This window comes from Homo sapiens, chromosome 20, assembly GCF_000001405.40.
Source record: "Homo sapiens chromosome 20, GRCh38.p14 Primary Assembly".
Lineage (NCBI taxonomy): Eukaryota > Metazoa > Chordata > Mammalia > Primates > Hominidae > Homo > Homo sapiens.
In genome coordinates this window covers 43,499,809-43,512,628 of record NC_000020.11, presented here as the reverse complement: position 1 = coordinate 43,512,628, position 12,820 = coordinate 43,499,809, and the positions used below count along the sequence as shown (strand labels likewise).

Here is a 12,820-nt window from a genome sequence, read left to right as displayed (position 1 = left end):
TCCAACACCGTAGCCACTAGCCACATGTGGCTATTGAGCACTTGAAATGGGCTACTATGACTGAGGAACTGAATTTTTTATTTTATTTAATTTTAATTAAATTTAAATAGTGACCAGAAGGTAGGTACAGTGGTGCATGCCTGTAGTCCCAAGTTCTCTGGAGACTGACACGGGAGGATGGCTTGAGCCCAGGAGTTTGAGGCTAGCCTGGGCAACATAGCGAGACCCTGTCTCTGACAAGAAATAAGTAAATAAATAGCGACAGTAGCTATGACTATTGTATTGGACAGCACAGCTTTAGACGTATTAAAATTGGCCTGTCAGTGCTACCTCCAAAACACACTGAAGGTCTAACCACTTCTCTCCATCTCCATTGCTGCCATGCTAGTCCCAGCCAACATCAGCTCTCTTTGGACTTCTGAAATTGCCTTCTAACCCATCTCCCTGCTTCCTTTCCTGCACCCCTACAGTCTACTCTCCAGTCGAAAAAGCTTTAAAAACATAAACCAAATCACATAATTTCCCTATCTAAATTCTTCAGTGGCTCTCTATTGCCCTTACAGTAAAATCAAAGCACTTTGCCCTAGAAAATCTGACCTCTGCTTTTCCCTCTGGCCTCATCCTCCACCACTCTTCCCCTGTTCTCTCCACTCAACAGACTCTGGTTTCCTTCTATTGCTTGACCAACATTCCCACTCACAGCCTTTGCCCTTGCTGTTCCCTCCCTCTGGAATGCTCTTCCCCAAGCTCTCTGCTTGACTGGCTCCTTCCCATCCTCCAGGCCTTAACTCAATAGTCACCTCCTCAGAAGAGGTCTTTCTTTACCAATTTTTTTTTTTTTTTTTTTTGAGATGGAGTCTCGCTCTGTTGCCCAGGCTAGAGTGCAGTGGTGCCATCTCGGCTGACTGCAACCTCTGCCTCCCAGGTTCAAGCAATTCTCCTACCTCAGCCTCCTGACTAGGTGGGATTACAGGCACATACCACATAGCCTGGCTATTTTTTGTATTTTTAGTAGAGACGGGGTTTCACCATGTTGCCAGGCTGGACTGGAACTCCTGACCTCAGGTGATCCGCCCACCTCGGCCTCCCAAAGTGCTGGGTTTATAGGCGTGAGCCATCGAGTCCGGCCTGACCAAGGAATTTAAAGCAGCAGCACACCCCTCACCCCATCCCACCACTATCTGTCTCATTACTATTATATATTTCTTTCTTTCTCATCCTTCATTATAATCAATAGTGATCTTCAATTATTTATTTCTGTGTTTGATCAGTCATCTCCACATAAATGCTGACCGTCTGTCTTATTCATTGCTGTATCCCCAACACTTAGTACCTGGCACATAGTAGGTGCTTAATAAGTCCTTGTGTTGGATTTCAGTAACTTGAACTTGTTAATAAAAAACAGTGTATGGGGCCGGCTTGGTGCCATGTGCCTGTAATCCCAGCTACTGGGGAGGCTGAGGCAGGAGAATCGCTTGAACCCGGGAGGTGGAGGGTAGAGGTTGCAGTGAGCCGAGATCGTCCCACTGTACTCCAGCCTGGGAGACAGAGCAAGACTCCATCTCAAAAACCAAAAACCAAAACCAAAACAAAAAAACACTGTATGGGCCCAATGCAGTGGCTCACACCTGTAATCCCAGTACTCTGGAGGCTGAGGTGGGAGGACTGCTTGAGCCCAAGAGTTCAAGACCAGCCTAGGCAACACAGGGAGACTCTGTCTCTATAAAAAATTAAAAAATAAAAATAAGCCAGGTGTTGCAGTATATGCCTGTAGTCCCAACTACTCCAGAGGCTGAGGCAGGAGGATTGCTTGAGCCCGGGAGGTCAAGGCTGCAGTGAGCCATGATCTCACCACTGTACTCCGGTCTAGGTGACAGAGCGAGACCCTGTCTCTAAAGAAAAAAAAAAAATTAGCTGGGCGCAGTGGCTCACGCCTCTAATCCCAGCACTTTGGGAAGCCGAGGTGGGTAGATCACCTGAGGTCAGGAGTTCAAGACCAGTCTGACCAACATGGTGAAACCCCATTGCTACTAAAAACACAAAAAAATAAAAAAAAAATAGCCAGGTGTGGTGGCAGGCGCCTGTAATCCCAGCTATTTGGGAGGCTGAGGCAGGAGAATTGCTTGAACCCAGGAGGTGGAGGTTGCGGTAAGCCAAGATCATGCCACTGCACTCCAGCCTGGGCAACAGAATAAGACTCCACCTCAAAAAAAAAAAAAAAAGAAAGAAAGAAAGAAAGAAAATTATAAAACATAATTCCCTGAATTTCAATTCCAATTTGCTTTGCACAGCTGAAGTACTTGTACTATTTTAAATACCTTTAGAGTTAGGCTGGACGTGGTGGCTCACGCCTATAATCCCAGCACTTTGGGAGGCCAAGGTGGGTGGATCGCTTTGAGCTCAGGAGTTGGAGACCAGCCTGGGCAACATGGTGAAACCCCATCTCTACAAAAAGTACAAAAGTTAGCCAGGCAGGCCATGCGTGGTGGCTCACACCTGTAATCCCAACACTTTGGGAGGCCAATCACTTGAGGCCAGGAGTTCAAAACCAGCCTGGACAACATGTTGAAACTCCATCTCTACCAAAAGTACAAAAATTTAGCTGGGCATGGTGGCACACGCCTGTTATCCCAGCTACTCAGGAGGCTGAGGCAGGAGAATCCCTTGAACCCAGGAGGTGGAGGTTGCAGTGAGCCAAGATCGCGCCACTGCACTCCAGCCTGAGTGACAAAATGAGACCCTGTCTCAATAAATAAATAAATAAATAGAGTTAATCTTTTTATTTGAAACACTGGCAGTTAAGAGTGAATGTGGTTACTTCTGAAAGAATTTCACTCTGTGTCAAAACCTGTCACATCTCAGGTCTATTGAAGAAGCTGGATTTGAAGACTACGTTTCTGTTTGGGTTCGCTGCCTCTTTTCCAGCAAGCATGGGAGGACCAAGTAGGTGTCACCACCATTCTGTGCTCTGGGGTTACAGTCACAAACATGACAAAATGCTCTCATGAAGCTTATATTCTGGAGATAATGGATGAGGTTGGGGCTGGAGGTATAAATTTGAAGACCAGCATGTGTAGATGGCATTTAAAACCACAGAACTGGGGCGAGGCCTGGTGGCTCATGCCTGTAATCCTAGCACTTTGGGAGGCCAAGGTGGGAGGATCACTTGAGCCCAGGAGTTTGAGACCAGCATGGCCAACATAGTGAGGCCTCAGCCTCAACAAAAGATTTTAAAAATTAGCTGAACATGGTGGTGCACCCCTGTGGTCCCAGCTACTGGGGAGGCTGAGGTGGGAGGGTTGCTTGAGCCTGGGAGGTAAAGGCTGCAGTGAGCTATGATCACACCACTACACTCGAGCCTGGGCGACAGAGCAAGACCCTGTCAGAGAGAAAGGGGAGGGGAGGGGAGGAAGGAAGGAAGGAGAGAGAGAGAAAGAAAGAAAAAAGAAAAAACCACATAACTGAGTATAAAGAAAAAAGTGGGAACTTTGGAGCACACCCACATTTATAGGTTGGGAAGAGGAAAAGGGTCTAGCAAAAGGGACTGAGAAGGAGTCTGCCATGAAGTGAGGGGGGACTCAGAAGAGTCTGGGTTTCTGGTGGACACTGAAGAAAGTTTTCAGCCTTCTGCCGTCAGCCTCTCTTGGAACTGCTCTGAGCCTAGGGAGCTACCTCACTTGAAGGCTCTCCTAGAAGCCGCCAGCCAATGACGAGTTGCTATGAGGTGTAAAGACCCCACCCCCTTGCCTTACTTTGGAACACCTCTGCAGGGCCATCTCAGTTCCAGAGCTTCCATTAGGTCAGGCTGAGGCCTCTGTTGAGACTACATCAGCAGTTCAGCTTCTTCTTCCGCCCAACCCGTCATTCCCCTACTGGTGATATTCGCAAGAGCACTCCGATAAACCTACACTCAAATCTTGCTATCGGAGTCTGTTTCGGGGGACCCGACCTAAAACAACCATTGTAGCCCCAGCCCAGAGCCGTGCACATAGCAGATGCTCAATAAATATCTGTTGGCTGAATGTGTCCATGGGTATTTTCTCTTGATGTCTGACAAGGTTTTCTCAATCCCTTGCCTTCCAAGGCCTTGTATACAAAAACGACCAATAAATGTCCTTACTATAGGTGTTGGGTGGGGAGTAGAGCCCTCGACAGCTACCCAGAAAACAACACACAGCAAGGCTGAGCGCTACAAACTTGGGGCCTCGGCCCCGCCCCTCGCCGCAGCTGCTTCCCGGACTCGGGAGGGGACGGAAGCGGCCCTGAGCGCAGGGTTCCAGGATCGGGACCCGCCACCAGCCTCCCGGGACTGGTATAGGCAAAGGCGGGCGGGGCGGTCACTGATCCGACAGTTCCGCAGAACGGTTACTTTTTAAAACGCTAAAATGGCGGAATTCTTTTTATTCTTTCTCTTTATGGCCAAAAAAAAAAAAAGAGAGAGAAACAAAAAAAATTCCATATTCCATTATAAAAATCCAAAATTAATGGTAGGAAAGTTTGCCAAATGACTCATTCATTTCCCAAGAAAACCAAAACCCCGCCCTCCACACCTTTCCATTAATAAAAAAACTCTTAATTGATTGCGTATCTCCAAACACGCAGCCTCCACCCTCCTCGCCCCTCCTGATCGCAGCCCGAAGCCACGCCGCAGGGTCGGCTGGGCCTGGAGTCCCGCACCCGCCTGGCCCCCTGCGCGCTCCGCCCAGACCGCTTTCCCCGGCGTTTTCCCGAACCTCCTCCCCAGCCCGCGCCCCCCGCCGGAGGCGCTCGGAAGGAGCGAGACGCCGGGGCCGCAGACCTGAGCCCTCGCCGCCCTGGACGGAGCGGGGTGGCGCGGCGCCCAGGGGACGCAAGGTCTGAGCCCACGCACCGCTGGTTGCTTACCTGCCTGGCCAGCCGGTGGCCGCCCAGCGCCTAGCTACGGTCCGAGCCGGGCGCCGCGCGCCTGCGCGTTCGGGGGGCGGGTCCGCCTCCCTGCAGGACGCAGAGCGCGGGGCCCGAGCGCCGGGCACATCTGCCCGGCCCAGGCGCAGGCCCAGGCTTCTGTGGCGCCCGCGCCCTCTTGCCTGCCTTCGAGGCCCTGGTTGTGCGCGCCTCATGCCCCCTCAACCTAGGACAGGTTTGCCGCACGGGCGTGGCGGGTCGAGATTTTTCCTGCCCCCGAACCCCTGCATCACAGCTAGCAGAGCGCAGCGGGGGCGCAGGGACCGCGGAGCTCGAAGAGAGAGCCTGGAGGGCTACCGAGCTGAGTGGTTAGTGACAAAAGACGAGGCTGCACCCAGGCATGCACCCCAGCCGAGTGTCTGCTCTGTCCAACGCCTTCCCACCGCGCCTGCCCTCACCCTGGAGGGGAGCTCAGGAGCGTCAGAAAACGGCCTCAGGAAGGGTGAAGGGCACGTGCGACCGGAGAGAGGAACCCTCGTGCGGGGACTCTGGTCCTGGCCCTGCCGGGCATAAAGAGCGGCATTAGCCGCGTCTACTTTTGGGTGACCCCACTGCGAAGGGCTGGGTAACATCAGTATCCCCCAGGTCCTCCATTTCGACATTGGTAAAGACTATCACCCACTTCATGGCGTATGGTCGTTTTCAGTTTGGGTTCCTGTGGTGGTGTAGCAATCACTGCCCCTCTCTGCTTCACTTTGACTGATCTCTTCGCCTCCACCTGATCTCTCTAATTAATCAAATCTCCTTGTTATTGGTTCTGGTAACACAAGATACCTGTCTCGCTTACACATACCACAGCTGGCACTTCACATAGATTTGAGTAATTCCAGAGGCTAAGAGGTTTCAAGCTCCAAGAGGGTAGGAAATATTAGTTTTTGTATTCCTAGTACCTAGCCCAGAGCGGGGCACAGAGTGGGTGCTTAATAAATATCTGTTGAGTGACTAAATGATGTAGGGTATGCAGATGAAAACAGGGTAACTTTTGGTACAGTCCACCATCCAGCCCCTCTCCCACACCAATGATTTAATTTAATCCCTTGATTTTACTTGGCCTTAAGTCATGGCCACATGTCAGACCACCAGGCTCCTGATTCCCTCCCAGGCCAGATGAGAAAAGGGTTCCTAATGAAATGTAGGCAAATTCTCCAAATTGCTGTGATCGACAGGTTTAAATTTATGCAGAATTTAACTATTCCGGTTGCCACGCCAACGCATTGCATGTGTTCTTCCTTGCTGCAATGTCAATTTTTAATCACATCTCATATTATTGGGAACAGGATTGCATCAGTTAAGGATGCTGGTTGCCATAACGATGGATGCCTTTTTCTACACATTGATACATACACAACCATCCGCTCAGTATTCTCTCATCTCAACCTAGACTGTGCGTGATCTAGATTTCAAAGGTTTATTTTAGGTATTCAGAAGATTAAAAGAAAGTGGTGAACCTACACAAACACATGGATTCTCAAAAACAAAGGCATCTTTTAGATGGTGATTAAGACGGATAAGTGGAATTTGAGCTAGCAAGACCTAGAAACAAACAACTAACATGGATGTGAGTTGCTAAGACATTATTTTTCTGGCTATCGACAGTATTTTTGTGCCTCACGCCTGTAATCCCGGCACTTTGGGAGGCTGAGGTGGGAGGATTGCTTGAGCCCAGGAGTTTGAGACCAGCCTGGGCAACATGGCAAAATCCTGTCTCTACAAAAAAAAAAAAAAAAAAATTAGCTGGGTGTGGTGGCGCATAACTGTAGTCCTCCCTAGCTACTAGGGAGGCTGAGGTGAGAGGGTCGCTTGAGTCCAGGAGCTCAAGGCTGAAGTGGGCCATGAGTGAGCCACTGCACTCCAGCCTGGGCAACAGAGAGAAATCCTGTCTAAACAAACAAAAAATCTCTCTCCTCACCCAAGAAAAAAACTGTATTTTTGTGGTCTTGATACCTGGCTTGTTGGCTTGAACAGGGGTCAAACAAACAAACCAGGTATCAAGATCACCAAATCCTGGGGTGAAGAGCTGCTACCACGTTAATATGATTTGGAGAAGTTTCTGCCTCATGAAGCCAGAGTTTCCCCTTCCAGTACCAGTCTGCCTTCAGGAGCAAGTAAGCAAGTCCAGTCCTCCCCTCAAGTGATAGCCCCCTCTTCACAAGTTCACAGCCCCCATTGTCTTCTCCATGTTAACCCCCTGCTCAAGCATGGACCCAAAATATTTTGAAATATTGATGAGTCAAAGCACTGAGAAGACTGTTGTTTACGCCAGGCATAGTGGCTCACACCTGTAATCCCAGCACTTATGCCAACGTGGGAGGATTGCTTGACGCCAGGAGTTCAAGACCAGCCTGGTCAACATAGTAATGAAACAAGAAAAGTTCCCTTATCCCCCTAGCAGGGTGTGTGACAGCGGGGGAGTGGCTTGCTTCCTCAGTGCCCTGCAACTCAAACCCTAGGGGGAGCATACAGACGGGCAGGTAGTGGGGAGCGTGGGCTCCAACCCCACAGCAGCATCTAGGGTTGAGTATTTACAGCTCCCGAAGCCTCAGTAGACGTGTGTTACTGTGTGCTCTTCAGTTTAGCCGTCCGTAGACAGCTCGTTTTAATCAGCTCAATTAGACCCTCTGCCTTATTGAAAGGACAGAGAGTTTTCTGTATCCTGGGTTCTTGCCCTAGTGTACTGGAAAAATCAGATTACACATGGGCTTGGAGAATGAGTGCAAGGTTTTATTGAATGGTGGAGGTTGCTCTCAGCAGATGTATGGGGAAACAGAAGGGGAATGGAGTGGGAAGGTGGTCTTCCCCTGGAGTTGCCTGGCTCTCCTTCAACCACCCTCAGCTGAATTTCCCTAGGCATCCGCATCCTTCTGCAGTTGATGGCCTGTCAGCGTCCGTGTGTTCTTCTGATGTGTTCCTCTCCATATCCAGCCATTTGTATGTGTGCCCACTAGGGTATTGGGGTTTATATAGGCACAAGATGGGGGGTGTGCGGGCCAGAGTGGTCTTGGAAAATGCAACATTTGGGCACAAAAACAGGAGTGCCTGTCTTCACCTGGGTCCATGGGTGGGGCCCTCACCAGGGACCCTGCCTTTCTCTACCCAGCACTTCCCTGCCCCACTCCTGTATCAATGACAGACCCCCTCCAGTCTCTACAAAAAAATTAAAAATTAGTTGGGTGTGATGGCACATGCCTATAGTCCTGGCTACTTGGGAGGCTGAGATGGGAGGATTGCTTGAGCCCAGGAAGTCAAGGCTGCAGTGAGCTGTGATCATACCACTGCACTCCAACCTGGGCAATAGAACAAGACCCTGTATGTAAAACAAACAAACAAAAGAAAACTGTTGTTTCTAAGCAGCCCACACCATTCTGTTCCTACAATAGAGTTTCATTCACCATTGAGACTGTCTGCAGATTTTTAGGGAAATCATCAGGATGTGCCCTTTATGTATAAAAACACTTCTGGTTCCAACGTCAGACTGAGCTAGTATGGAACGTTTTAAAAACTTTTTTTATTTTTATCTTTTAAATGTAGTTACATAAAATAGAGACAGGGTCTCCCTGTGTTGTCCAGGCTGGTCTCAAACTCCTAAGCTCAAGGGATCCTCCTGCGTTGGCGTCCCAAAGTGCTAGGATTACAGGCATGAGCCACCGCGCCTGGCTGGGAACCTTTTCTAACACAAACACCAGAAAACCCTGCCTATTATATTACAAGAAAGGAAGCAAGCAAGCACACAGGGAAAGAAAGTAAATTCATTGCTGGCCGGGCGCGGTGGTTCATGCCTGTAATCCCAGCATTTTGGGAGGCCGAGGCGGGTGGATCACGAGGTCAAGAGCTTGAGACTATTCTGGCTAACACGGTGAAACCCTGTCTCTACTATAATTATAAAAATATTAGCCGGGCGTGGTGGCGGGCGCCTGTAGTCCCAGCTACTCAGGAGGCTGAGACAGGAGAATGGCATGAACCCGGGAGGCAGAGCTTGCAGTGAGCTGAGATTCTGCCACTGCGCTCCAGCCTGGGTGACAGAGCAAGACTCCGTTTCAAAAAAAAAAAAGTAAATTCATTGCTGAACGTGTAAGAGGAAATCCTCAGGAGTCAAAAACAAAAAGGGAACCAGAGCAATAAGATGTGGCCTGATGTCTCTCTTGTCCTGGAGGTGGTTGTTGGATACAGACAGGACCCAGCTGCTAGAGACTTGGGTTTTACTACACATGTAATGATGGGAGATGGAACCTTGGGTCCATGTGGCCCTGAGAGTTGGAACTGAAGCCCATGTATAAAGACTGGGGGGCCGGGTGTGGTGGCTCACACCTGTAATCCCAGCACTTTGAGATGCTGAGGTGGGAAGATAGCTTGAGCCCAGGAATTCGAGACCAGCCTGGGCAACAAAGTGAGACCATGTCTCTACAAAACATAAAAAGATCAGCCGGGTGTGGTGACATTCCTATGGTCCCAGCTACTTGGAAGGCTGAGGCAGGAGGATCACTTAAGCTTGTAATGAGCCATGTTCGCCCCACTGCACTCCAGCCTGGGCAACCGAGTGAGGCGCTGTCTTAAGGAGGAAAAAAAAAAAAAAAGACTGGATACTCCTCCCAGACTATATATTCATTGAAGAGAGTTCTAGAAACTGTTCAGTACAACAGTCCAGAGAAATAGAAAGGAAGCTTGTCTCTGCCTGGGATGCATAGAAGTGAGGATCAGGGCAAGTCAACCATGGAAAATCAAAACTGTAAGCCTACACTGTGAATGGATTTGGGAACCCTATTTGTAGATTAGATTTGTAGGGATTTGTGCTGCCCTCCTGGTATTGATAGCTTCAGCTAAGAAAGCAGTGCAAAAATTGGTCCTGGGCAAGTAATATCCATGCACAACTTCTCTGTAGAGACATCGTTACAACCCAAGCCAAATGGAATGCTCACAACAGAAAAACATAAAGTAGTCAAGGAAACGATCTACCATATTTAACCATCAGCGACCTAATAAACAGGAAAATTAGCACCCACAATAACTTGAGACAATAGCATAATTTATAAAGAGATTGTAAAATAAATGTGGGCTGGGTGCAGTGGCTCCTGCCTGTAATCCTAGCACTTTCGGAGGCCAAGGCAGGAGAATCACTTGAGGCCAGGAGTTCAAGACCAGACTGGACAACACAGCAAGACCTTGTCTCTCAAAAACAAGAACAAAAAACGAAAGCAAATATGTTAAAACTATTTTAAAAGGAATGGGAATTACACAAGGATTTGGAGAAACGAACCCTTGTGCGCTTTTGGTGGGAATGTAAGTGCAGCTGCTATGGAAAACAAGATGAAAGGTAGTGGTGGAAGGACCTCTTACAAAGTGCCTAGAATTAATAGTCACCTTAATAGTTTTACCATATACAGAGATAAACTGATTAAAGTGACTAGTATATGTAAAAGTAGCCACTCATTTAAAAAAACCGTGGGGGTCGGCCAGGCGTGGTGGCTCACACCTGTAATCCCAGGATTTTGGGAGGACCAGGAGGGCGGATCGTGAGGTCAGGAGTTTGAGACCAGCCTGACTAACATGGCGAAACCCCGTCTCTACCAAAAATACAAAAATCAGCTGGGTGTGGTGGCGGGCACCTGTAATCCCAGCTACTCAGGAGGCTGAGGCAGGAGAATCACTTGAACCCATGAGGCAGAGGTTACAGTGAGCTGAAATAGTGCCATTGCACTCCAGCCTGGGCAACAGAGTGAGACTCCATCTAAAAAAAAAAAGACTGTTGGGGCCAAGAACTTCAGCTTCTGGCCAGGTTGGAATAACAGGGACTAGATTTACTCTTTCTACTGAAACAACCGAGAAAAGGGAAATCATATAGCAAATGTTTCTCAAGACACTGACCACCAGGCAACAAAAGATATATTCTTCTTTCTTTTGTATTTAGAGACTGTATTAGTCCATTTTCACACTGCTATGAAGACAAACCCAAGACTGGGTAATTTATTTATTTATTTTTGTTGCCTGAGATGGACTCTTGCTCTGTCACCTAGGCTGGAGTGCAGTGGCACGATCTCAGCTCACTGCAACCTCTGCCTCCCGATTTCAAGCAATTCTCCTGCCTCAGCCTCCCGAGTAGCTGGGATTACAGGCACACACCACCATGCCTGGCTAATTTTTGTATTCTTAGTAGAGATGGAGTTTCACCATGTTGGCTAGGCTGGTCTCAAACTCTTGACCTAGTGATCCACCCGCCTTGGCCTCCCAAAGTGTTGGGATTACAGGTGTGAGCCATCGTGCCTGGCAAGACTGGGTAATTTGTAAAGGAAAGAGGCTTAATTGACTCACAGTTCAGCATGGCTGGGGAAGCCTCAGGAAACTTACAATCATAGTGGAAGGCAAAGGGGAAGGAAGCAAGGCACCTTCTTCACAAGGTGTCAGGAAGGAGAAGTGCCCAGTAAAGGGGTAAGAGCCTCTTATAAAACCATCAGATCAGGCCAGGCGCGGTGGCTCACACCTGTAATCCCAGCCCTTTGGGAGGCCGAGACAGGCGGATCACAAGGTCAGGAGCTCAAGATCATCCTGGCTAACACGGTGAAACCCCATCTCTATAAAAATACAAAAAAATTAGCTGGGCGTGGTGGCGGGCACCTGTAGTCCCAGCTACTAGGGAGGCTGAGGCAGGAGAATGGCGTGAACCCGGGAGGTGGAGCTTGCAGTGAGCCGAGATCACGCCACTGCACTCCAGCCTGGGTGACAGAGTGAGACTCTGTCTCAAAAAAAAAAAAAAAAAAAAAAATCAGATCTCATGAAAATTTACTCACTATCACAAGAACAGCATGGAGGAAACCACCCCCATGATTTAATTACCTCCCCCTCTCCCTTGACACATGGGGACTGTGGGGATAATGGGGATTACAATTTAAGATGAGATTTTGGGTGGGGGCACAGCCAAACCATATCAGAGACAGTCTCACTTTGTTACCCAGGCTAAAGTCCAGTAGCACGATCATAGCTCACTGCAGCGTTGACCTCCTGGGCTCAAGTGATCCTCACATCTCAGCCTCCCAAGCAGCTGGGACTACAGGCAATTGCCACCACACCCAGCTATTTTGTTGTTGTTGTTGGCGTTGTTTTTGAGACGGAGTCTTGCTCTGTCGCCCAAACTGGAGTGCAGTGGTGCGATCTCGGCTTACTGCAACCTCTGCCTCCCGGGTTCAAGCAATTCTCTGCCTCAGCCTCCCAAGTAGCTGGGATTACAGGTGCCCGCCACCACGCCCAGCTAATTTTTGTATTTTGAGGAGAAACTGGGTTTCACTATGTTGGTCAGGCTAGTCTTGAACTCCTGACCTTGTGATCCACCCACCTCGGCCTCCCAAAGTGCTGGGATTACAGATGTGAACCACTGCGCCTGGCCCACACCCTGCTATTTTTAAAAATTATTTTATGTTGCCTAGGCTGGTAGAATAGAAATTCTTGAAAGATGAGAAATAATCAAGGCGATCCCCATGATTGCTGGAGAAATATTAGCAGCTGGGGCAATCCAGGTGGAGCCTAGCAGGCTCACTGAATTGAGGAGATGGAGCTGGAAGTCCAGTGAGGGCAAGACAGCTAGAGTCAACAGGAAAGAGTACCAGAAAGGAAAGCGATGTAAGAGAAAATGCTGGAGAACTGCAGACAGCCCTGGCCTTGAGTATTCAGTTAAGTACTAATCAGCACATGTGTGACATAAATACCTGAGCCTGAGGAAAGAACAGGCTGAAAGGGTTAAAGACAACAATTCCTATAGCTTCCACCACCCAAGTGGAAAACCTCATAACTCACAGGCAATCAGGGAGAGTTCTGAGTGCTTGCTAGTGGGGAAACATGAAGCCTACACAAAACACCACTCTGGTCTTAGTTTAAAAGTTTAAAAAGACAA

At 48.9% G+C, this 12,820-nt stretch overlaps 1 protein-coding gene across 5 annotated transcripts in view, besides 1 other annotated feature; it reads right to left on the bottom strand.

Moving 5' to 3' along the window:
- Nucleotides 1–4,932, bottom strand: part of L3MBTL1 (L3MBTL histone methyl-lysine binding protein 1) — a 43,258-nt gene extending 38,326 nt beyond the window's left edge. For all 5 annotated transcript variants that reach the window (NR_165189.1, NM_001377306.1, NM_001377311.1 and 2 more), the window contains exon 1: nucleotides 4,885–4,932. The gene's annotated coding sequence lies outside the window, so the exon portion shown is untranslated. The remainder of the gene's footprint in view (nucleotides 1–4,884) is intronic.
- Nucleotides 4,722–5,051: a silencer, noted in NCBI's record as "silent region_12926". NCBI's record gives its function as "represses an Ori minimal core promoter by ATAC-STARR-seq in GM12878 lymphoblastoid cells {active_cell/tissue: GM12878}" and the evidence as "EXISTENCE:reporter gene assay evidence [ECO:0000049][PMID:35858748]".